This window comes from Homo sapiens, chromosome 13 (assembly GCF_000001405.40).
Source record: "Homo sapiens chromosome 13, GRCh38.p14 Primary Assembly".
In the NCBI taxonomy this organism is placed as follows: Eukaryota; Metazoa; Chordata; class Mammalia; order Primates; family Hominidae; genus Homo; species Homo sapiens.
In genome coordinates this window covers 30,731,577-30,756,374 of record NC_000013.11, presented here as the reverse complement: position 1 = coordinate 30,756,374, position 24,798 = coordinate 30,731,577, and the positions used below count along the sequence as shown (strand labels likewise).

General features: G+C 46.3%; 1 protein-coding gene and 1 long non-coding RNA gene across 4 annotated transcripts in view, besides 3 other annotated features; one reads left to right on the top strand and one right to left on the bottom strand.

Moving 5' to 3' along the window:
- Nucleotides 1-24,798, bottom strand: part of ALOX5AP (arachidonate 5-lipoxygenase activating protein) — a 50,942-nt gene that overhangs the window by 8,052 nt on the left and 18,092 nt on the right. The window contains exons 2-5 of one of the 3 annotated variants that reach the window (NM_001204406.2): nucleotides 20,700-20,824; nucleotides 12,216-12,315; nucleotides 4,253-4,323; nucleotides 350-431 (exon numbers count right to left, since the gene is read on the bottom strand). In NM_001204406.2, coding sequence (NP_001191335.1) covers nucleotides 350-431; nucleotides 4,253-4,323; nucleotides 12,216-12,315; nucleotides 20,700-20,824 — 378 coding nt within the window. Of the gene's footprint in view, nucleotides 1-349; nucleotides 432-4,252; nucleotides 4,324-9,630; nucleotides 9,751-12,215; nucleotides 12,372-20,699; nucleotides 20,833-24,798 lie in introns of those variants that run through there. The other 2 variants (NM_001629.4, XM_017020522.3) reach the window with 2 other exon arrangements.
- LOC124903146 (uncharacterized) lies at nucleotides 776-23,853 on the top strand. Its single transcript, XR_007063743.1, has 3 exons — nucleotides 776-864; nucleotides 11,736-11,866; nucleotides 23,638-23,853. It is a non-coding gene; the product is annotated as an uncharacterized LOC124903146 (long non-coding RNA).
- Nucleotides 11,501-12,700: an enhancer, noted in NCBI's record as "CDK7 strongly-dependent group 2 enhancer chr13:31317812-31319011 (GRCh37/hg19 assembly coordinates)". NCBI's record gives its function as "activates an origin of replication core promoter dependent on BRD2, BRD4, P300/CBP, MED14 and CDK7 cofactors, with strong dependence on CDK7, by STARR-seq in HCT116 cells {active_cell/tissue: HCT116}" and the evidence as "EXISTENCE:reporter gene assay evidence [ECO:0000049][PMID:35650434]".
- Nucleotides 11,927-11,996: a silencer, noted in NCBI's record as "silent region_5237". NCBI's record gives its function as "represses an Ori minimal core promoter by ATAC-STARR-seq in GM12878 lymphoblastoid cells {active_cell/tissue: GM12878}" and the evidence as "EXISTENCE:reporter gene assay evidence [ECO:0000049][PMID:35858748]".
- Nucleotides 17,610-17,801: a silencer, noted in NCBI's record as "fragment chr13:31312711-31312902 (GRCh37/hg19 assembly coordinates)". NCBI's record gives its function as "represses an EF-1alpha promoter that drives an FKBP-Casp9 reporter gene in an ReSE screen in phorbol 12-myristate 13-acetate-treated (for megakaryocytic differentiation) K562 erythroleukemia cells {active_cell/tissue: K562(+PMA)}" and the evidence as "EXISTENCE:reporter gene assay evidence [ECO:0000049][PMID:32094911]".

Sequence of the window (24,798 nt, the reverse complement as noted above, 5' to 3'; positions counted from 1 at the left end):
GGGAACCCAGACCTAAAATGTCATTCCAGCGCCAGACTCTGCAGGGCGGGAGTGCAGGGTGTGGGGCTGCAAGGCACGTGCAGCAAACAGCACTGAAGCACCCTTTGAAAGCCAGCACCATGCGGAGGAATTGCTTAATAAGAAAACTGGGCAAGTCCCCCCAGCTGTATTTTCAGAGCCTTCAAAGCTCAGGGAAAGAAGAATCAGAGGTCCTAGTCAGCCTTCCCCCTCCCACCCAAGGGGATGCTACGGAGCCGTGAATCTAGTCAAATACTGTTTTGAATTGTCACTCTTCCTGCTCAAAAATCAGGAATCGCTCCACAGTTCTTTAGTAGTCCCAGTTACCTACCTCTGCGTTCTCTCTCCTAGGTAACCGACAAAGTACTTTTGCCTCACAAACAAGTACATCAGTCCAGCAAACGCAGCAGGAACTAAGTGGAGAAATGAAAACACCTGTGTCAGTTTCGTAGCCACCAAAACATGCTGTTAGCCCAATTAGGCAATCAACATTGGTCACAAAATCTAGCAGAAGACACACGCACTTCAGGAAAAGAGCCCAAGGGCTAGAGGAAACCTGAGAACCTTCCTAATACTGGTAACGACCTTATGCCGGCATCATGGCATTGTTTACAACAAACTTGTCCAACCCGGAGCCTGCGGGTCGCACGTGGCCCAGGATGGCTTTGAATACAGCCCAACACAAATTCATAAACTTTCTTAAAAATATGAGATTTTTTTTGCAACGTTTTTTCTTTAGCTCATCAGCTATTGATAGGGTTAGTGTATTCTATGTGTGGCCCAAGACAACTCTTCTTCCAGTGTGGCTCAGGGAACCCAAAAGACTGGACACTCCTGGTTTCCAAGGTATTTGCATATCTATCATCTAACCTGAGTCCTTTCAACATAACTAGTACCCACATTTCTATTTCCAGATGTGGAAACGTGGGTTCAGGTGGTCAACCAGGCTTGCATAAGGCTGTCAGCTCGTAAAAGGGGGCAGAGGGTAGGGCTTAAACCCCAAACCCAGCTCTGAAACTGGTTCTCTTAAAAGTACACCCTTCACCCCTGAGCCTCCCCACAGCACAATGTTTAACCTTTCTTGAACTAACAGCTACCATTTAGAAGAGAAGGACATTCCCTCTGCATTCTAGCCTTTTGGGAAGGAGATTCCCTCTGCGTTCTAGCCTTTTGGGAAGGAGATTCCCTCTGCGTTCTAGCCTTTTGGGAAGGAGATTCCCTCTGCATTCTAGCTTTTTGGGAAGGAGATTCCCTCTGCATTCTAGCTTTTTGGGAAACTGCCAAGAGCAGCACCCCAATAACTCTATGAAGTCCTGAAGGCTTGGAGCTGGGAGTTAACTAAGCTGGAACTAGTGTTATCTAGAGCTACAGATATAAAAGCAATTTAAACACTTCCGCCATTGAGGGAATACTTTTCACCTGCCGCAGTGCTCCTGGCGTTTTGGGAACTTGAGTCTCCAATCCTCCCAGCTCTCTGGTAAGGAGTGTGTTACTGTCACCATTTGACAGACGAGGAAATTTAGGCTTAGGCCACAAGAGCCTAAGACAGATGAGGACATCTGTCTTTTTCCTAGATCATCTCTGAGCCTGGCATAGTGCCTGGCACATAGGGGTGTTCAAAATAATATTTGTCAAATGAATGAAAATAAGTCAGGCCAGTGAAGGCGTGGAATTTGAAGCCAGGTCTTTCTGATTTCAAAACTTTATCACCACCACCTGCATTATCAATAATAACATTTATTGCGCTTCAGATGTTAGGTGGAATCATATGAAATGCTATTTTTGTAGGTCATAAATAGCCAGATATTGGCAGTTTTACATGGCTCAATCTGATATATGCCAAGCACTGTGTCAGGAGCTTTATACATATTATTTCACTCACCATAGGAATGCTACTAGCTAGACCATGGTCCTGTTTTACAATAAGGAAACTGAGGCTTGGAAAAGCTGAGTAACTGCCTGGAGTCACACACCAGCAATGAGTGTCCTTGGATTTGCCTCCAATCAGCCACTCCCCAAAACCCATTTCTTTCCACAATTCCTCCTGCCTTCCAAAATACTATTGTTATCCGGCAGATAAGAAAATCAAAGCAAAAGAGAAACTGTGAACTCTTTTTGAGACGGAGTTTCACTCTTGTTGCCCAGGCTGGAGTGCAATGGTGCTATCTTGGTTCACCGCAACCTCCGCCTCCCAGGTTTAAGTGATTCTCCTGCCTCAGCCTCCCGAGTAGCTGGCATTACAGGCATGCACCACCACGCCCAGCTAATTTTGTATTTTTAGTAGAGACAGGGTTTCTCCATGTTGGTCAGGCTGTTGTCGAACTCCCAACCTCAAGTGACCTGCCTGCCTCGGCCTCCCAAAGTGCTGGGATTACAGGCATGAGCCACTGTGCCTGGCCCATGCTATTCTCTAAAAATCACAAAGCTGTCACAATCACGATTTGCCTTGGGCAAAGTTTTTCCTTATGTTATACCATCTGAATGATTCTGCTCCAACTTACTGGTCCATTTTTCTTTCAATGGGAACCCAATTGAACATGAGCTAACAGAGATTATGGGTGGAAAATGGCCACACTCATACCCCTGTGCAAGGAAGGTGAGTGCCTCCTGCAGGGAAGTGGGCTGCTGGCACCAGGAGGGTACAAATCCAGCCCCTAAAATTCTGATGTTCGTTCAAGCCACTTGTTCCTCTGGGACTTGAGCTTCTGCTCTATAAAGTGAGGGATTTGCACTAGAATTATCTTTGGGTTTCCTTTCTGCTAAAAAAAATTCTACAGTCTACTTTATTCCTAAGAAATGACGATTATCAACCAAGGTTACTGATGCTTTTGTCTGCTGGCAATGACAAAGCTTGTTTTGACAGGAAATACCTATTTCCAGGGCTACGAAACACCTTCAAACTCCCATTGTATTTATCTAGCTACAGCAAGTCCGCATTCATCTAGATCAAGCATCATCTAAGACATAAAAAGAACCATAACTCCTAGTAAGAGCATAGTTTGACTTGATTTTTCAAGTAATGCGAGACATGTTTCCTATTTAACTCAGGAGAGAAAATAGGAAATAAATGGTGAGCTTACTGACAGCCTTCTCAGCACAGAAGGAGTGCCACGTGGTGTCCCTTAAGTGGTTTCTGCTGCCGCCTCACCTCTGCTCTCTATCACTGAACTTGGTTCTCTTCCCATATGGCGCTTCCCACCCTTGTCATTGTCTTCATTCACTGACTTCTGTGGTCCATCTTGCCAGCTGGCCTGTGCCTCACCGCCAGGTGACCTCTAGAAGCTACTCTTTATTTATCACTGTATATCTAGGCACAGGGCTTGGCACAGAGTAGCTCTTCAATATATATTTATTATGTAAATGAATAAAGTAAGAGGATCTTTGTGAAAAATCCAGAATTTTAAGTCAAAAGACCCAGGCACTCATTCTGCCTGTGTTCTTCACCAGCTGAGTAGCTGTACCCAAGTTACTTTATCTCCCTGAGTCAAAGTATCCTGAAAGGTAATAAGGGACATAAAATCCACTCTATCTACTTTACAGAGCGGGGAGACAACAATAAGTCTTAAACAGTTCATCATGGGACTGAGTGTGGCCTTTCTGCCTGTGCCCTCCAGGGCCACAGAAGCTGGCCAGTTCATGCCGATCTGCCACCAGGCACAGTGCCAGGCGTGGCCCCGAAAGGGGACCAAAAGTATGACTGATTTCCACTCAATGTTAAATCAACTCTGGAAGTTGATTTGTCTTTCCAACTTGCTCAAGTCAAGCCTGTGGGCTGCTGATAACTGTGGGAAGGCCGGGGATGTGGCATCCAGCCCGTGGCTCAGTGGAAACATGCCTGAAGGAGGGCCACCACACTGGAAGCTTATTAGCAGAAGAGCCAAGTGACAGCGGTCCCAAAATAGATCCCTCAGGCACTCTCATTTATAATGCCCTTGTATCTGAACTAACACTGCTTAAGGATTCTGAGTCACATTTAGCCTTAAACCACCCTTGTCAGCACAGCAGCTCTCAGCCAGCCACCAGGGAGCAAGCATTAGCAATGCATTATCACACGCGCTCTGCACGGGTGCAGAGCATGCCTGAAACACGGCCTCCCGAGGGCTCTCACCTCTCCAGGGCTTCACAGATGGGAGCCAGAGGTCAGGCAAAGTCCTTTCAACAAAAAGCCTGCCCTTTGAACCTCCTTGAGATGCACTTTATAGAAGGAGAATGAACAAAGGGAAGTCTGAGTTACCTTGGCTGCAAAGTAGCCCCGCAGACCAGAGCACAGCGAGGAAAGTGGGGTACGCATCTACACAGTTCTGGCTGCAGAATAAACAAACAAGGAGAAAAACAATCAGAGACCAAGTTAGTGCAATGTGGTCTGAAAATTACCTGAAAGTTGAAGTTAATAATCACCATCGTGCATGAAACATAAATCCCATTCGTAATTCCACTTACATCTACCCAATAAGATGGGGCAGCCAGCTGCCACCTGGGAAACAAACAATGGTATAAAGCAAACACATGTTCATAATCCATTAACTCTGTTCCTACGGTGATGCGTAAGGGAGACTTGGTTTCTTGATGTATTCCTCTGGCAGGGTTCCTGTTCCTGGCGGTGCCCCTGCGCTTCTTGGAATTGAAGAGTGAGCAATGCAGACAGAGGATGTGGCCACACTGGCATGGGGGTGGTCGGGGAGAAGAGCCCAACTAAGGAAACTTTTCTATCAGATCCACAAATCAGCCCAGGTCTGCAAGCCAGGCTGAGCAAAGAAGGGTGATCTTCAAATGTTAAAGACAACAAAGTCAACTCAAAAAAGCTGGTGCTCAGAAACTTAGCTTACTAAGAGGGTGATCACTGTATGCTGGGCACAGTCCTCACTCCCTGGAGAGTTCTCACTCTACCGTGGATGTTTTGCACCCTTCCTCTCTTTTTAACTCACCATATTCCTGTGAGTTCACATGATAACTGTATGAGTTTCCTCTTGCTGCTGTAACAAGTGGCCACAAACTGAGTGGCTTAAAACAACACGCCTTGTAATCCCAGCAATTTGGGAGGCTGAGGCAGGCAGATCACAAGGTCAGGAGTTCAAGACCAGCCTGGCCAACATGGTGAAACCCTGTCTCTACTAAAAACACAAAAAATAGCCAGGTGTGGTGGCAAGCACCTGTAATCCCAGCTACTCAGGAGGCTGAGGCAGGAGAATCACTTGAACCTGGGAGGCGGAGGTTGCAGCGAGCCAAGATCACACCACTGCACTCCAGCCCAGGCAACAGAGCAAGACTCTGTCTCAAAAAAACAAAAAACACCCTTTTACTATGGTTCAGGATGTCAGAAATCCAAAATAAATCTCAAAGGGCTATAAAGTCAAGATATTAGCAGGGCTGCAATCCTTCTGGAACTTCTAGGGGAGAAACCATTTCCTTGCCTTCTCCAGCTTCTAGAGGTCACCTGTATTCCTTGACTCAGAACCTCCTTCCAACCTGAAAGTCAGGGATGGCCCATCAAATCTTTCTTATTTTGAATGACTCTGACATCTACTCTTATGCCTCCTTCTTCCACATTAAAAAGACCCTTGTGGTTACATCAGGTCCTACCCAGATCATCCAGGATAATCTCTTTATTTTAAGGCCAACTGGCTAGCTGCCTGAATTTCCCCTTGCCATGTAACATAACATATTCACAGGTTCCTAGGATTAGGATGTGGGCATGATTGGTGAGGGGGCCATTATTCTGCCTATCACAATTGCTCTCATGTTTCCAATAAGGAACTCAGGCTTGGAGAAGCTGAATAACTTGCTCAGGGTCATCCAGCTAGGGAGTGGCAAAGCCGGGATTCACACCATAATCAGTCTGTCTCCAAAGCCATGTCTGTTAACTCTTCAACTATACTAAATTAAATCATAGGTGTCCTCCTGAGAAGTCTGCAGTCCAGATCAGGACAATAAATATGCCCATCCATGAAAAACAGTGTAACTAGACTTGAGAGGCATAAAAAGGGAGGGAAATAAATACAGAGGAAAGGTCACTTGACTAGGATTAAAGTCTCCATCCTGACTTTAACCAGCTGTTCACCATTGGCAAAACAATCTCTCTGGATTTAGTTTCCTTATCTGTAAAACTGAGAGACTGATTATAATTCTGAGGTCCATGTGAATTCTCACAGTCCATGGTCGAAGGTGGCAGTTCTCCAGGCATGCTCTCGGGACCAGAGGCGGCAGCAGCATCGAGAACATGTTAGAAATGCAAATGTTCACACCCACCTCAGGCCTTCAGAATTTAAAACTCTGTGTTGGGGCCCAGAAATCTGTTTTAACAAGCCCTCCATGTGATGCTGATGCCTGCTGACGTTTGAGAACCACGGGTTTCATGTGATTATATAGGTAAAAACAAAGATGCAATTTTCAAACTGCTCATGCAAACCATTAGGGTCTCATGCCTCAGTGGTACCACTGAGAACTTGGGAATGGCCAGCCCTTCATCTGTGCCCTGCAGAGAACCCAGAGAGATCAGGTTATCTGCGCCTCACCAATGGAATCTTCGTGGTCCTCTGATGGTCAAAAGATCCTTTTCTGGAGAAGTCTATGAAGGTAACAGATGAGAAACCTACCCTGGAATCCAGGCACAACCAAAAACCAGGAACAGGACAGAAAGAGCAGACCCCTGCTGACCTTGCAAAGTGCTCTGAATCCCAGAATTTCCACTGATCTAATGGACACGGTAGGAGCTCCAAAGGGCAGGAGGCCCCTACAAATTTATCACTGGGGTGAAGTGCTTAGTGAATAAACAGGTCCCCAAGTAACAATTGCAGCAGCTACTGGGCACTGGCATCACATCTATTCTTATATGTTACTAGAGGCACAAAATTGCAGCCTCAGGACTGAGAAAATATGATTCATTTTCCAGTTCAAGAAACTTAGAGAAAAAATTCCTTTTTTGGTTATTCGAATAACATTCTGTGTCTGATGGGGTAAAATATCTGGTGCTCTTATTGTTTAAAAACTTATTAGTACCAAAGATTTCCCCTGCTTCCTTCTCTTTCTCATGTTTCGGGTCTTTGGTTTGTTTTTAAGTAGCGATTTTGTCTGGGTTATGCAAAAGGAAAAAAATTCTTAATTGTCTAAGGGATTTGCTCATTAGAAATGTGAACTGCCTAGTGATTTGACATTGGGTCCGTATTCAACCATTCCTGACTATTAGTTCAAGTCACCTTCGTTCCTAATAAAACATGGTCAGCCTGGAGTTGAATGAAATTCTCCCAGCTGTAAGAAAATGGGTTCCTCCTGTGGATTTCCAGAATATTCTCAGAGCCTTGTTCCTGGCTCTGGCTCAAGCCAGTCCCTCTCGCCATCCAGGACTTCAAGTGCAGCTTCTACCCAAAGCTGCAAGCTTATGTGCCCCTCCTGGAGAGGGGGTTGCTGCTGGGCTGAATTCAAGTGGCTTTAGCCATGACAGCTGCCCAGTGGCTGCTCGTGTAGTCTTTGAAGTTCACATGGTCTGGGCCCAATGCCATGGCTGCCTCTTATGGGCTATGTGAGTGTGGGTGCATTTCCTAGCCTCAATGAGCCTCAGTTTGCTCATCTACAAGAGGTGGATGGAGACATTAGTAATTACTTCCCTAGACTGTTGTGAGAATGAAACAAGGTGAAGTGCCACCTGGCTCACAGTAAGCATTCAATAAGTGGTGGCTATCATTGTTCCAATGTCTTCCTTCTTAACCCCCAGTGGAAATGTCTTTCCTATTGACAAATTATTATTATTCTGGATTTTCTTTTGAGAAATTTTGCGCTATTTTTTCTGCAAAACAGAACTGATGAACCCATTTTGAGTCTCATTCCTTGAGGTCTAAATAGGAGCTACTCAGCAGATCTTGCAACAATTTGCTGTGGTATGTTCAACTTGATGTGCTGCACTATTCATGTTTTTATGGAGAAAAGAATTCGTTGCTATATTCCCTTTCATTTTTCTCCACCTCTGGGAATAAAACATAGAAACTCTTTAGTGTTCCGTTAATTAGTTTGGATTAATTTAAAGTAAGTAAATATAATTAATAACAGTTTATTAATAATAGTGTCAATACTAATTGACAGGATCATTGTAGACCTATCACCTTTAAATAATTTTACAAGTCTATGCCACTTGAAAGTGAGTCTAGGCCAGGCACCAGTGGCTCACGTCTGTAATCTGAGCACTCTGGGAGGCCGAGGCGGGCAGATCACCTGAGGTAAGGAGTTTGAGACCAGGCTGGCCAGCATAGTGAAACCCTGTCTCTACTAAAGATACAAAAATTAGCCGGACATGGTGGTGCATGCTGTAATCCCAGCTACTCAGGAGGCTGAGGCACAAAAATTGCTTAAGCCCGGAAGGCAGAGGTTGCAGTCAGCCAAGATTGCACCACTGCACTCCAGCCTGGTGACAGAGTGAAGCTCCATCTCAAAAAAAAATAAAAATAAAAAACAGAAAGAAAGTGAGTCTAGAATGGACACCAAGAGATAAGAGATGCAGGGAGAAGCGACATGAGGGTGGTATTCCAAAAACATGTTTTGATACACTCTGCAAAAAGTGGGCGGTAGGGGTGTCTGTAGTTAAATAATACATTCCCCTCTTAGAAAACCAAGAATCAGAATACCCTTAAACGTCCTCAAAAGTCTGTCTATAAAGAACTTGTTATCCCCTGTAACACCTGTTAAAAGTCCATGAACTTGTAATCCATTTAGAAAATTACACCTCTCCAGAGACCCTTCTCCTCTCTGCAACCTGTGCTTACTTACACTCACAAAGAGGAATCTTAGGTCAGCTAACAAGGATTTTTCTCCAAAAACCAAACTTTGACCAAGGCTGCTCTAGCCATGCTCATTGGCTGGGAATAGGACATTAAACTGTGTTTTATACATGTGAACAGGCCAGGCACGGTGGCTCACACCTGTAATTCCAACACTTTGAGGGGCCAAGGCGGGTGGATAACCTGAGGTCAGGAGTTCAAGACCAGCCTGACATGGTGAAACCCCGTCTCTACTAAAAATACAAAAATTAGTCAGGCATGGGGGCATGTGCCTATAATCCCAGCTACTCAGGAGGCTGAAGCAGGAGAATAACTTGAACCTGGGAGGCCGAGGTTGCAGTGAGCCAAGATCGTGCCACTGCACTCCAGCCTAGGCAACAGAGTGTGACTCTGTCTTTCAAAAGAATGAATTAATTAGAATTAAAATATACACGTGAACAGAGTCCAGGTCCAATTCCTTTTAGCTCTCAAACCCTGGCTCAGCTCTGCCCTCATGGGAGATGGGTGGAGGGACAGCCCATTAATTAAGGCCAAGTCTGAGCCGATGAGCCACACTGGCTAGTGTATCTGTTCAGCAGCTGCCCCAGAATCTTGAGCTATCTGTATCAGTCAGCAGTTGTGTTTTATGCTAAAAATACATGCATCTGTCTTTTTAATCCACCAGTATCATTTATCCTTCATGCTGTTTTTCCTTGATAGCCATGGTCCCTAAACATTTATGATCCCACACCCCATGAACCAAAAATTTTGAGCATGCAACCTTATAACAAGTATATTTGCATATAAACTATATACACATACTACTGTCCATGTGTATATTAAAAATGAGGAAAGCTTCATGTCTTACTTTTCAGATAGCAAGATTAAATGCATGTTCTTTTCTTCCTGCAGCCTCATGGGTCATCTTGCAACCCTTTTCAGTGCTCTTGGATGCCCCTGGAGAAGCTGCTGCTGGGACGACTTTCTCCTAGAATAACACACAACCCCATTCCCAGTGGTTTCCTGGCACAGGCAAACAGACCAGCTGCCTCTGGCTTTTGCCAGCATGTAGCTGCCTGCTGCATTGATCTTTGACCCTTTTTACAACCCAGACAGGCACACAGATATGTTGCTGGCCCAGGGAGGAAGTGGTCTTTGTAACAGAACCGCAGCAGTGTCCAGACAGTTTTTGTCTTACAGAAAACTCTCCACCCTGCCTGCTTAGTTCCTACCTTTCCATGGCTATCTCTCCCCTCCCTCATCCTTCTCCTTCCCTCTCATGGAGGTTGAGTGTACAGACCCATGGGTTTTGAGAGCTGGGCTGCAGCACCCACACGGTGGGGATGCCCAAGCAGCAACAATCACTTTCCACTCTCCTCTTACGCTTTTTAATCTCTGGCACCCCACAACGACTGTGGAACTTCCAAACGACCTTCCCAAGTGACACAGCATAGCCACCAACCAAAGGGCACTTCTGCAATTTGGAGGCTGGCAACTAGCGAGCCCAGGTCTAAGCACCATGGCTTCTTACAAACAGAGCTGTTCACTCCCGGGGGCACGTGGCAGAAACTACACAGCCTGGCCTGCTCCATTTCTTCTTCATTGCCAGCAAATTGGAAACTTAACTTCTAACCAGATATGGTGAAATTGCACCATAACTTCTCCAAATTGGTTGAGCTGAGGAGTCCATAGGAACACAATGTGACCAGTGAGAATGCAGTCACCTGGCAGAAGTTTTTCTTTCCAAACTGATATAGCATAGTAGGAATGCTTTCTTTGGATTTCGTCTGGGGAGAAGTTTTGACCTTGCCTCATCAAAGACACCTTCTTTGCACCTCTTGCATGTGGATGTGTCCAAGGCGGGACTCTAGTATCTTTCTCTGCAGATGGTGCAAAGAGGCTGACAGCAAGTGACATAATTTCTGTACTCTCCTCCAAATGGTTTTAAAATGTCTTAAATCACACCTTTAAACATCTTAAATTGATTCTGAGAATTAATACATGGAAGACCTAAATGTTAAAATAGAAACCTCTCTATAATCAGTTTAGCAAAGGATTTCCTTGAGGTCAGACTGCTGGAATAGCCCTGGACAGAAGTGCTTGGGAGAAGGGAGTGGAGCCCAGAGCACGTGGGAGCATGGAGAAAGAGGGAGATCTAGGTGGCCCACTGTAGCAGCACTGTGAGTACTCAGGGGCTGTCTGAAAGGGAAAATGCCCACAGAGGGCAAGGGGCCAGGCAATCAACCTGTGACTACCGTACTAATGCGTTCGAGAGTGGCCCAGCGATTTCGGAGCTGAGGGAGCAAAGCAGCCAATGAAAAACTGCAATGGAGGAGATGCCCCCTCCAATCCCCTCATGCCTACACCTCACTGAAACAATTAAAAATACCTAGATGAGGAGAAGGACTGAAGAGAGAGTATATCAGTGAGTGTGATATAGGCCTGTTCAGTCGAGATCCCTTGAAGCCAGTTTAATTCACAGGAAACCAACGGTACCCCTGAAGGGGACCCTCCCTCCCATGGTGCCAGCAGCAAGCCCAGGGACTCCAACCCTGCAGTGTGAATCTTTGTCCTGAGTTTGCACCATTCTTGGCATTCTGAATACATTTTTCTTGGGTGACCATGACTCCCCCTTTGGAAGGATCTCTGGGAACATCAAAGTTGCTCCTGGGATGGAACTGAAGGCCAGCTCCTCCCTTAGCTCTCTAGCATGAGGCCTTCCTCTGTGACAGGCCCCTAGTCCGTAGTCCATAGTCCCCAGCATGCCTGCCACTGGCTGAGCCTTGAAATACACTCTGCATAAAGAAGAGAGGAGCATTTGAATAACATTCATTCGGATTTGCATCCCGAATAGATTGCACCCATCTTTAGGAGCCGCTCAGGTGTTTTCAAACAACCTTTTTATTCAAAGAAAAGAATGAGAGAGGGGGAAAGCACCTGCTAATGTCCCCATTCTTTCTGTTCTTGTTCTAGTTGCTCAAGGAGCCCCCGTGTTAGAAAATGCAGTGGTGTCACCTCCAGACTTCCACCCGCAGGGGAGCAAGGGGTGGGTGAGTTGAAGGCTGTCGTCAGCATGTCCTGCCTGTGGCTTCTGAAGGTGACTGGTGAGTCATGGCTGGTGTTCACAGTAGCAACCCTGGTCTAACCCCACAGGAAATAGGTCAACTTCTCTAACCAAATGACTCTTTCAGATCTTTCTGAAGCTGCAGAGATCACACCTCCCTCCACCAATGTGCCCCATATCCCCACTCCCTTTGTTTTGACACTAGCACTCACTAAGATGATAAAGGGTGTCCACAAAGCCTCTCTGGTGAAGTCCAACCTTCCTCACCTCCCTGGCGCTCAGAAACTTGGCTCAGACAGACATGTGGTATTAAGGGTGGTCATCACTCCTAGAAGGAGGCCCCCCTGCCCATGCCCCCACTTATTAGCAACATCAGGGTTAGGACTCACTTGGCAGTGTAGACCCGCTCAAAGGCAAGTGTTCCGGTCCTCTGGAAGCTCCTCCCATTCTGGGTCCTGCTTTCGTGCTCCACTTTATGGGCAAAGAATCCTGCCAAGGGAAAAGGTTTGCATCTGGTTCATTGTGGGCATGTTCAGGAGCCTGTTACTTCCTTGTTTTACTAGAATGTTAAATGCCTCCTTGACTTGACCTCCAAGCAACCCTAAATGTCCTCCATCAACTGTCATTTAGCAGAAACGTACTCAGCAGCTGCTCTCTACTGAACACTGTGTTTGGTGTTAGAAACACAGTCATGAGCAAGGCACGGCCCCCACTTTCTAGGATCTTACAGTCTAAAGGAATAGACAAACAAGGAAAGCAGACATTCCACACAGCAAAGTGAGTCATGCCAAGATGAGATTGAGTACATGGTGCTTTCAGGGTCAAAGGAGGCAACTTAATTCCATGTTGAGTCACAGAAGGATTCCTTGAGGGAATGACATCTAAGATAAAATCTGAAGAACAAGTAGAAATTAGCCAAGCAGACGGAGGGAGAGGGGCCGCTCTAAGCTAAGAGAACAAAATATGCAAAGGTTCAGGGTAAAGAACTGTCTGTGGTTCAGAATGTTCAGCCAAGGAGGGGGAATGGAGGGCACTGGGGAGGGAATGGGATTTGGTAGAACCACAGACAAGGCCAAAGAGGGAGGTGATGAATCATTCTTTCAATGACATGTATCTATGACCATTTGCCACATGCCAGACATTTAGCTTGCATCCAAGAACAAAACAAAGAGCCTTGGTTTGAGGAACTGATGCTCTGGTGAGGACAGCAGAGGAGGAGACAGATCATCCACATTAAGCAAAATACATAAATTAAAATGATATGGTGTGCTGAGCTATGGGCGAAAGAAGAGCATGGTAAGGGGCCGTTTGAGGCATGCAAGAAGGTGGGGTCGTGAGCCTCAATGAGAAAGAAATAACTGAGCCAGGTCTTCAAGAAGATGACCATTGAGATTTGCCCCTGGGGCCTAGCAGGGTGACTGTGACCTTGCTGAGAGCCGTGTGAAGAAATTCAGAACTTAGTTCCGTCTGAGAGCAACAAGGAATTACTGACAGGTTTAAGCAGAGGAATGTTGTCATCAGAAAGCCACCCTGTCTTTAGTGTGGCAGGAACTTAGCAGAATCAGATCCAGGATAGGGGGATAAGATAGGAATTGACTGGGGTGGTGGCGGTGGGGGTGTCAGAGATGCCAAGGAGACACAGTCTGGAGGGTTTGACTATAGATTGGATGATGGGGGGTGGGGGGGGGGCGGTGAAGGTCTCTCTGCCCCCTCTCCCCTTCTATTTTATTCCTTTACTCCTTTTTCAAGAGTGAAAAAAGGGATACATGTGATTGTCAGGGATCCAACCACAGGGTTCCTTTTCATCAATTTCATATTATCCTCCTCAAAAAGACATTAAAGGGGTGCTTTATTGTGTATAGGAATAAAAGCCTTTCATGTTTTTCTTTTCTACACAAATAACACTCCTTCTGTAGGAATGTGCCCACTTTGAGTGTATCTGTAGGGCTCTCTTACGTAAAGGAAGGGCCCACCTCATCCCAGGCAATGTGGTGGGCACTTGCCATGTATTCCGTCACAGAGCTTTGCACCCACTCTGTGCAATGGGTAGTACTGTTCCCACTCTGTAGGTAAGAACGCTGCAACTTTCCAGAGTCAACCTGCTGCTGGGGAGAGGTGCAGCCGGGACTTCAAACTCTGCGGGGCATATGGGGATGTGTTTCTCCTCTTGCTGTCACCGTGAAGCTCCCTGCAGGATTTCATCAGCTCCACAGGTTTTTGTTTTTTTTTTTTAGATACGGAGTCTCACTCTGTTGCCCAGGCTGGAGTGCAGTGGCGTGATCTCGGCTCACTGCAACCTCCACCTCCAGGGTTCAAGCGATTCTTCTGCCTCAGCCTCCCGAGTAGCTGGGACTACAGGCATGCGTCATCACGCCCGGCTAATTTTTGTATTTTTAGTAGAGTTGGGGTTTCACCATATTGGCCAGGCTGGTCTCGAACTCCTGACCTCGTGATCCACCTGCCTCAGCCTCCCAAAGTGCTGGGATTACAGGCGTGAGCCGCCAGGCCCAGCCAGCTCCACAGGGTTTAATACACCTGTCCATTCAAAAGATCTGTTTTTACCAGAGTATGACAGAAAATGCTGATCATTTTCTTTCTGGAACCCAAGATGGTATTCCCTGCCTCTGAACGCATAATCAACCTTCTATATCTGCGGGTTCTGCATTCCTGGAGTCAACCAACCACTGACCAAAAATATTAAAAAAAAAAAAAAAAAACAGAAAACCATTTGTCTGGACTGAACATGTACAGATTTTTTTTCTTGTTACTGTCTTTTAACAATACAGTATAACAACTGTTTACATAGCATTTACATTCTATCAGGTATTATAAGTAATCTAGGCCACACACAGTGGCTCATGCCTATAATCCCATCACTTTGGGAGGCTGAAGCGGGTAGATCACCTGAGGTCAGGAGTTCAAGACCAGCCAGGCCAACGTGGTGACACCCCATCTCTACTAAAAATACAAAAATTAGCCAGTTGTTGGGGGGTGGGGGTGGGGAGGGGCCTGTAATCCTAGCTACACAGGAGGCTGAGACAGGAGAATTGCTTGAACCCAGGAGGCGGAGGTTGCAGTGAACTGAGATTGCACCATTGCACTCCAGCCTGGGTGACAAGAGTGAAACTCCATCTCAAAAAGAAAAAAAAAAAAAAAAGACAAAACAAGTAATCTAGAGATTATCTAGAGGTTACTTAAAGTATATGGAGGATGTGTCGAGACCATCCTGGCTAACATGGTGAAACCCTGTCTCTACTAAAAAATACAAAAAAAAAATTAGCTGGGCGTGGTGGCAGGCACCTGTAGGCTGAGGCAGGAGAATGGCATGAACCCGGGAGGCGGAGCTTGCAGTGAGCCAAGATCGAGCCACTGTACTCCAGCCAGGGCGACAGAGCAAGACTCCATCTCACAAAAAAAAAAAAAAAAAAAAAAAAAAAAAAAAAAAGGATATGGAGGATGTGTGTAGGTTAAATGCAAATACTATGCCATTTTATATCAGGGACTTGAGCATCCACGAATTTTGGCATCCGAGGGAGGTCATAGAACTAATCCCCCAGGGATACCGAGGGATGACTTTATTAAAAGTCAGAGGTTATTTCTACAACCAGCAGCACGATGTGCCGTACTTCTCTGCATCTGCCTCTCTTCTTTCCCTCCTTGCTCAGAGAACCGAGCCCCTTCCTTTTCTCTAAGGCTGCATCCTCTAACTGTGATCTTGACCCTGTCCATGCCACTGACTTCAAGTCTGTATTTCATTGCTCCTTCTCCCACTTCCAGAATCTTTAATATCATATTCTCTCCTTTTCTTTATCCTGGAAACACGCACAGATCTTCCCTATCCTTTAAACAAAACAAAAACAAACCTGCTTCAGTCCAACATTCAACTAGGGTTTACCGCTCCTTCCTTCTAAGCTAAACTTGGAAGAGTTGGCTGCCTTTGTCTACTCCTCACCGCCCCCTCACTCCCCAACCTCTTGTAATCCTCCAGTATGCTACAGAAACAATACATGCAAAGACCATAAACACACTTATCTCGGCTAGCTGCTAACAGTAAGCCAAAACCAGTGTGAGAGAGAGACAAAGACACAGATAGAGAGATGGCTGCAAACCGTTGTGAGGCATCCGCCGTACGTGGGCACTGCTAGCTACTTTAACTATATCATCTTGTGCAAGACCTTCAGCAACCACAGGTGGAGGTTATCAATCACTCCACTGCTCAGTGAAGGAAACGGAGGGCCAGAGAAGTTAAATAAGTTTCTCAACAAACATAAAGAGATCTTGAGATTTTAGTTAACCACAGAGTTAATATGAGTCAGCAATGACACATAGTTCTCAAAAAAATAACTCATACGTAGATTATTCTAACAGAGTCGATGCCCGGATCTCAGGAACAGCTTCCCTGTACAGAAGACACCTATCTGCATAGGTGTTCTTAGAAAGAACACAGGAAGAGGAGAGGAGACCCAGTGGCAAGGGACTTCAGAAACGTTAGGCCGAAGAGGGGGATATTACAGCTGACACTGTAAACACAGAAAGAGCAGGCACAGTCTAAGTGATTTTAGGGAACAGCACCAGGACTGCTGGGTAAAACGCATAGGGCTGCAGATTTCAGCTCAACATAAGAAAGAACTTCTTGAGCAGGGAGTGCTTGAATGAATGAATTGGAGGCAATATGCATGGAGCAAGTGTCTACTCTCTAAAGTCAGATGATTAGGTTTTAATCCCAGCTTCACGACTCCTGACCTTGGGACTTTCAACCAAATTCTCCATGACTCACTTTGCTTATCTGTAAAACAAGAATAAATAATAGTATGTATTTCTAGGCTGGTTTCATGCCTGTAATCCCAGCACTTTGGGAGGTCGAGGCAGGAGGATGACTTGAGGTCAGGAGTTGGAGGCCAACCTGGCCAACATGGTGAAACCCTGTCCTTACTAAAAATACAAAAATTAGCTGGGCGTGGTGGCACATGCTTGTAGTCCTAGCTACTCAGGAGGCTGAGACATGAGAATCACTTGAGCCTGGGAGGCAGAGGTTGCAGTCAGCTGAGATTGCGCTACTGCACTCCAGCCTGGGTGACAGAGTGAAACTGTCTCAAAAATAACAATAATAATATATATATCTTTATTCACTTGCATACACTTATAAAGACCTGTCTTTGTGCCAGGCAGTGTCCTGGGTGCAGGGGAATAAAGCAGGGAACAAAATAGGTACAGTGAAGGAAAGGTCAGCCTACAGCGGCCCCTCCAGTCTCTGCAAAGGCAGTTGCATGAGTGGGTGAGTGCAAGGATTAAATGGTGCAAAGATTATATGAGATAAAACTAAGCACAGCAGGAAGCGCCATTCTTCACACAACGCAAGCTTTCAATCCATGCAACAATAGGAAAGGCAAGCTTGGAAGTTTGTGAGTTTTCCAAACACTGCAGTGTTCAGGAAGAAGCAGCCGGTGGAGGCGGTGGAGGGGGGTGGTTGGGGGTTACTGTAAGGAAGATTCCTGCTTTGGGGGAACTTCATGAGTCTATGATTCTGCTTCTAGAGCCTGTCAAATCCCAGGTTGGATGGCAAAGTCTTCCAATACGGTGCTTGTGAGGTTTCTTGTGAGTGTGTGTGTGTGTGTTGGGGTGGAACTAGTAACAGCAGCTCCATTTCCCTCCTTAGCACTATGCTCACAAACCCTTATGATTGCAGGGCCATAATGTCGCCAAAACTTGGAGGAGGCTGCCTCTCTTGGGGGAAAGAGGCCGCTGCTAATGCCTGCCAGCTCCCCCTACAACCAGAGCAGATGTGGAACAGCCTCCTGCGGGAGGACATCCTTCCTCTGCCATCACTAAGTGTAGCTCAGGGGCACTGAGCCCCTCCCCTCAGCTCACATTTCTTCCCAATCACTTTCTCCAAATACAGTATGTGCTTCCCAGGTTTGCATCATGTCTAAGCTGCTGGTACCTAGGCAGAAGAAGTTGGAGGCTCTCTGCCTGCTACTCATAAGAAATGCGTCTGTGTAATTAAAACTTGCCCTAAGCCCCAAACTGGGGAGACAGATTTGAGCCCAACTCCTGTCTCCTTGCTGGCCAGCCTTGCAATAAAGCCTTTCTTTTCTCAAAAGCCAATGTCATAGTATTGGCCAATGAGCCCATTTGCTATATTCTCTGGGAAACCAAGTTTTGATAGTTCTGGTCCAGGTTTCTTAGAATCATGTATTTTAAACTCGTTCTGTTTTTCCAAATCTGCATTCTGCTGGATCAAGCTGGAAAGGGTTACAAATTTGAAGATCTTGATGACTAAAACATGTTTGAAAGGCAGAGGAGGACATTGCACCAGGTGGGCCAGCTCTGCCCAATCACAGAAAATCAGGCTCTCAAAGTATAGAGAGAGTGCAGAGCCCAACCCAGTCATGGGCGCATGTGGAACTGTACCTCCTTGTCTTGGGACACAGACTGTGTACAGTGCCTGGTAACACCATGGAAATCTTTTTTTAACTAACAGGAAATGTTCAGAATGGCATTTTGGGGTATGAGGAAGAAGAAAGGCAGGGTTTTTGCATATTTTTTTGAACTCTGTAAGGTAGGTCTATGGTTGCAACATTGAGGTTAATTAGAATTGCAAAGAGAGGCTTGGACATACATCTGGATCTTTGTGATTGCCTAAAAACTCACAGTTAAAAACAAATAGTTGTGTTATCTCCTGAGTTATTTGAATGTTTTGCCCCCTCCATTGAGAGCTATACGAGGGGCTCTTCTGTGGTTTCAAAGGGACCACAGAAACTCCCTTCCTGAACACAGGCAGGACAACTGTGCAAAGTCACTCTGACCACAAATTGCCTCAGCTGGCTCCTAAGGGGCAGCTGTGACAATGGAGGGACAGAGGCAGTGATGTGCAGGCCATCACACTCCAGCCCAAAAAATTAGCTCCCAGCTGGTCCATTCTAGTGTCTCTTCAACCAGGAAGCCCCCAGCACACTCATCACTTCCGGGAACTCTGTTAGTGAGGCCCCTGTGCCCTGTGGTCTGTAAAAAGTCTAGATCTCCATATTGTGGCTGTCAGGACTCAGACATTTGGCCATCTTTAATCTTACCTCTACCTCCCACTTGTCCCACAGAAGAAGACTTAATCCTATCTGTCAAAAAGAATTCGAAATCTCACCACTCACCTCAATCTGAACAGGGTTTGCTAGACCATGATGGCAAAGTCCAGGAGAAAGCCCTGGGCAGAGCAGGGCCAGTTCCCTGGTGCACCTCCATTAGGAGAGGTGAGGAGAACCTGTCCTTGAAACAGAGAGCTCTGAAGCTTCCCACAGTTCAGCTCTGAATTGAGAGGGAGCTGGAGAGAGTGAGCTCAAACTTCGTAGCTGGGTTCAGCCCCAACTGCACAGGCAGGGAGGGGGCACAAGGTCCCCTGTCCACCGATGCTCCTCAGTTTTATTGATGGGTGTCAGGGGAGAGGCCAGAGGGGAGATCCTTCCAGAGCTGAATAAGTGCTAGCCACCTGCCCACCCATACAGCTACCTTTGCAGAGACTGCAGGCATTGCTGCAGGCTGACCTGTCCATCACTGTAGCTGTTTTGTTTCCTGCTCTATCCGCCTGTACCCAGAATACTATCTGGGCCAGAGCAGGGTCTCTGTACATGTATGCGGGTTGAATAATGGAATCCTTGCCAATTTACAGGGCCAAGGGAGCCCTGTGTGAAATCATAATGGCTCAAGAAAATGGTGGCCTAAATAAGCCATTTGTTCCCTCTCTGAGCTACAACTTTGTTGTGTGTAATTTAGTATAAAAATGTTTGGGTCAGAAAGCCACAAAGTGTAGTTCTTGTAGAAAACATACTTGGAGTGTGTGAAGCTGAGCCTTTCTGGTGCAGAGGCTGAGGGGGAGGCTTGCTCTGTGCCCAGAAGGCTACATCACCAGCATCTGTCCACACTCAAGATGGGGGAAAATAGAATATCCCAAAGTGATTAAATACTCAAAGTTCCAAAAACGTGACAGCATGTCAATGTTCAGTAATCACCATAAAGCTACAGCAGCTGCCCTTAGTAATTACTCTTTTTTTCTCTATCTTAATAAATATAAAACACAAAGCCACTGGAGATAGTTATGAAAGTGGTCTGAGGCAGCCCTAACTCAGAACTTTAGGAAGACAGCTCTACACAATTCTCCCTTTTCCAGATCTAGGTATCCTGCTTGTTTTTTGTTGTTGTTGTTGTTTTTAACTAATAGCAGGAATAATGGAAATGCAAACGCTGAACAGGACAATTTTCCTCTCTCTCTCTCTCTTTCTGAAGTATACACTGCATATGAAAAATGCTTCCAAAATTATACGTGCTAGAGAAAAAGAAGGTATCACCAAAAAAAAAAGTTTCTTCAGGAGAAAAAAAGAAAAAAGTAATATAGAGGAAAAATAATAAGATGATTTTTTCTACGCACCTCCCAAAATCACTTTCTTTTTAGACTGCAGATGACTGGTAACTTCAATTGCACTGCAGATGTTAGAAAAGCCCAGTATCTGAGTAAATGTGTATATCATGTTCCCTTTCTAGTCTTCTCACCTTCCACCCCTTGCCTGGCCACATTAATTAATAGTTAAAATGCTGATCATAGACACTTCGGTGAGGGTTTTAGCAAAACCTTCAAGTTGCAGCCCTGGCTCTAAAAATGGGACTGGTAATCACCACAAAAGTGAAAGACTAAGAGGAGGAAAACCCCAAATTTACACAGAAATACACACAACCCTATACATTCAAATAAAAAGAAGAAAATAAAGATAAGGTAAAAGTGTTTGTGCATGCGCACACACAGACACAATTGTTTAAGCCTGACTTCCAAACAACCATCAAAGAAAATCTCCCCTTCTGTTCTTCCCTGAGTGAAGGGCTTTCCTTACCATTCTGGACCACGCTGATGAGGGTGACGATGGCCAACAGGACAACATTGCCTACAGTTTCTTGATCCATGTTTGCTTCAGGCTCCCCAGAGAGGACTGCTCTGCCTCCAGCTGCACAACCTGCCCTGTACAGGAAGGGGAAGTGAGAGCTTGCACTCTTTCATCATTACAATTTCTGAAGATCCCCGGCACAATTACACAGTGCCTTCTTCTTCCTTTTTTTTTTTTTTTTTTTTTTTTTAACTAACCACCAAAATGCCCTGGCTGTGGTTCAGTGTGTCCCACCAGGAGAAGCAGGGCTTGGCAGAGGAGCACGCAAAGCCAGCACACTCTCCTACATTTCCTTGTCATGGGAAACTTCCCTGAGAGTCTCCAGAATGAATCCTGGACCCAAGACCATGACCAGCACGAGCCCAGCACAGGCACCAGAGAATCTGGAAGCTGCCATCATCTCTGACTTCAGCAAAGAGAAAGAAGGGAAAGTAAACCCAAAACTTTCAGGTCAGACAGAGTGGCATAAACCTGTAACCCCAGCATTTTGGGTGGCTGAGGTGGGAAGATTGCTTGGGCCCAGGACTTTGAGGCTACAGTGAGCCAATGATTATGCCACTGCACTCCAGCCTGGGCAACAGAGCAAGACTGTCTCACACACACACACACACGCACACACAAATGTAAAATGAAACTTTAAAAAAATGTATAGAACACCAAAAGATCTGTGCCCCAAATACTGTCCTTCTTTTTTTGAATTCCAAGAAAAAAAGTGAACACTTAACACACGGTAAGTAGCAGCCACATAAGGTTTGAATGAAGGAAGGAATAAATGGCAGTGGGGAGGGACAGCTGATATCTCCATTTCTTCAGAGAAAAGTAATAAAGGGAATTCATAAATTAAACCAAAGAATTCAAACCAAACCAAAGAATTCAGGTAAAAGGCAGAAATGGAGTTACAGATGATCCCTAAGGGAAATTCCCAAAGGGAACTGACTTTTCTGAGGCAATCGCAGAAACACCTTCCTGGAAATTCTTTTCAACTGAATAAGAGTAGAGTGGCTGTGCTTTCTGAGAAAGTATAAGAGTGGACCTGCTGGGTGGGTGAGGTGGCTGCCTGGTATTCTGCAGCTCAGATCAGTGTGAATGGCAATCCCTCTGAGGTTACATGGAAAATGCAAAATACCTGCAATCTTTGTCCCAGACTTAGCTATTTGGCATTGGTTAAGAGGTGCTTTTATCAAAACTTCACTTTGAAAGGGAACATGGACCACTGTAACTAGTGGCAGCAGGGAGGGCTGCATCTCGGCACGGAAGAGGTCAGTGTAGGGGAAGATATTGCTCCCTCATAGGTACAGTGCCAGAGGCCCGCTTCAATGCCCTCGGTTCAGCTGAGAGAGAAAGGCTGATGAAGGCAGCGTGCAGAGTTGTGTGCGGGGAAGCCAGCAGCCAGGGCTGTCGGGCTGGTCATGACACACTTGGGTACTCCCTGAGTACCTAGGGCACTTTGTAGAGTATAGACTTTATATTAGCCAAGGCTCTCCAGAGAAACTGAACCAATATATAAATAAGTCTCCTCATATATATATATTGCAGATTTATAATAGAAATTGGTTCACATGCTCATGGACACCATGAAGTTTCATGGTTTGCCATCTGCAAGCTGGAGACTCAGAAAAGCTGCTGGTGGAGACCAGTCTGCATTCAAAGGCCTGAGCATCAAGGAGGGCAATGGTGCAAGACCCAGTCTGAATCCAAAAGCTGGAGAACAAGGGGCTCCAGTGTCCAAGGGCAGGAGAAGATGGAGGGCAATGGTGCAAGACCCAGTCTGAATCCAAAAGCTGGAGAACAAGGGGCTCCAGTGTCCAAGGGCAGGAGAAGATGGATGGCCCAGCTCAAGAAGAAGAGGGAATTTGCCCTTCTGCCCGCTTTTTGTTCTATTCAGGCCCTCAGTGGATTGATGACACCCACCATATTGGTGAGGGTGGGAATTCTTTACTTAGTCCGCTGATTCCAGTGCTGATCTCTTTCAGAAACACCCTCCCTAACACACCCAGAAAAAAACATTTTACCAGCTACCTGGGCATTTTTTAGCTCAATCAATTTGACATAAAATTAACTACCACAGAGTTATTACAAGATTGGTTAGGGCTCAGCACTTGCAAGATTTGTATATTCACCTTAGTGAGATCCAATTCATACCTGCAGTTTGGTAAGTTTCAGGGGATGTTTAGGTTTTGGTAGCCAAGGAGTTTGAACCCCATAAAGCGTTAGCTCTTCTAACACTTACATCTTAGTGACAATGCATCAGAAATGAAGGCCAGTCCTCTTACAAAGTATTCCAGTTGCAAGCAATAGAAACTTAGCTCAAACTAGTTTAAGCAAAAAGGAGAATTTATTCACTCAAAGAGTCTAAAAATCTGACAGCTGAAGTTGAAAAGAACAGAGATGTGGTTAGGCCTTGGAGCTAGAGAGCTTTCTCTCTCTCTCTCTCCCGCCCTTCCTCTCTTTTTTTTTTTTTTTTTTGAGACGGAGTCTTGCTCTGTTGCCCAGGCTGGAGTGCAGTGGCGCGATCTCAGCTCACTGCAAGCTCTGCCTCCCGGGTTCACGCCATTCTCCTGTCTCAGCCTCCTCAGTAGCTGGGACTACAGGCACCCACCACCACGCCTGGCTAATTTTTTTTATATTTTTTAGTAGAGACGGGGGTTTCACCGTGTTAGCCGGGATGGTCTCGATCTCCTGACCTCGTGATCTGCCCGCCTCGGCCTCCCAAAGTGCTGAGATTACAGGCGTGAGCCACCGCGCCCGGCCCCCTCTTTTTTCTCTCTCTTCTGTCCCTTTCTCTCTCTCTTTCCCTTCTCTCTACCTCTGTCTCTGTCTTTCTTCCAATCTCTCCTCTCGCTCTCTCTCAGCTTCTCTTAGCATGTCAAACGTATTCTCTCTGCAGACCTGTTTCCTGGAGACATCTTCACCAACTGTGGAGTTTTACATTTTACAGCTTCCATCACCTGTCAAAGACTGACTTCTCTCATCTAAACTCTTAGGACAGCCTCATTGGCCCAGGCTGCCCGGGTGTCCATTCTTGGAGAGGTCAACCAGATGGCAGGAGAATGAAGACCCTGGTAGTTCTCACAATTATCATGTGGCAGAGGGGGACTGACTAATCCCGCAAATAAAAATTGGGAGGAGGGAGTGAGAAGTGTATTCACTCTTGCACTTGACTGTCCAATAGTTATAATCCCCAGATTAAAATTTCCAGTTTTTAAAGAAGTTTCTCTATCCTACACGCTTCTGTCTTTTAAACTCATCCCAATCTGCCGGCACATGAAAACAGCACCCACGGGGACCAACGTGGTCAGCCCCCACCATCACTGGAAACCTTCCGGGCTCCGTGGAACGCAGGGACCCCACACCTTCTGGGGCCCCACACCTTCTGGGGCCCCACACATGGGAGAAAAGTCCAGCCATTCGCGCTTTAGAAGGTCGAAAGGCGCCTGGCGAGAGGTGCCGGGCACCCCGCTCTGAGCTCCTTGGAGTCACCCCCAGCCAGCGCGCAGAGCACGTGCAGAGGCCCGGGGATGGAGGGAGTCCACTTCACCCGAGAAGAGCGTGTTAATAGCCGAGACGGCCATTAAATTACAGCGCGCACATTAAGATTCTGGCTGCAGCTGCAGAGGAACACTTATCAGAGGTGAAGCCTTTGGAAATGCCATTCATCTTAATAGAGAGCTGCTGAGACAGAACAAAAAGACAAGGGGCACCGGGAGAGCCGGGGAGGGGAGCGCAGCCCGCCCTGCCTGCCCGGATTCCCGCAGAAGACCGCCTGGCCGCAGTCCAGAGCAGCCCAGAATCCGGAGCCGCTGAGCGGCTGTGTCGTGGGGACCTAGTCTGTACTGGGCATTGTACCCAGAGCCTCACATTTGCCCCTCAGTGCAACCCTCTGAGGGACAAATTACCCCCCTCCCATTGCCCAGAAAGTGAAACTGAGGTTCAGAGGGGTTAAAAATGTGGTCAAGGGCCTGGCACCGTGGCTCACGCCTATAGTCCCAGCACTTTGGAAGGCCGAGGCTAGAGGATGGCTTGAGTCCAGGAGTTGGAGAACAGCCTG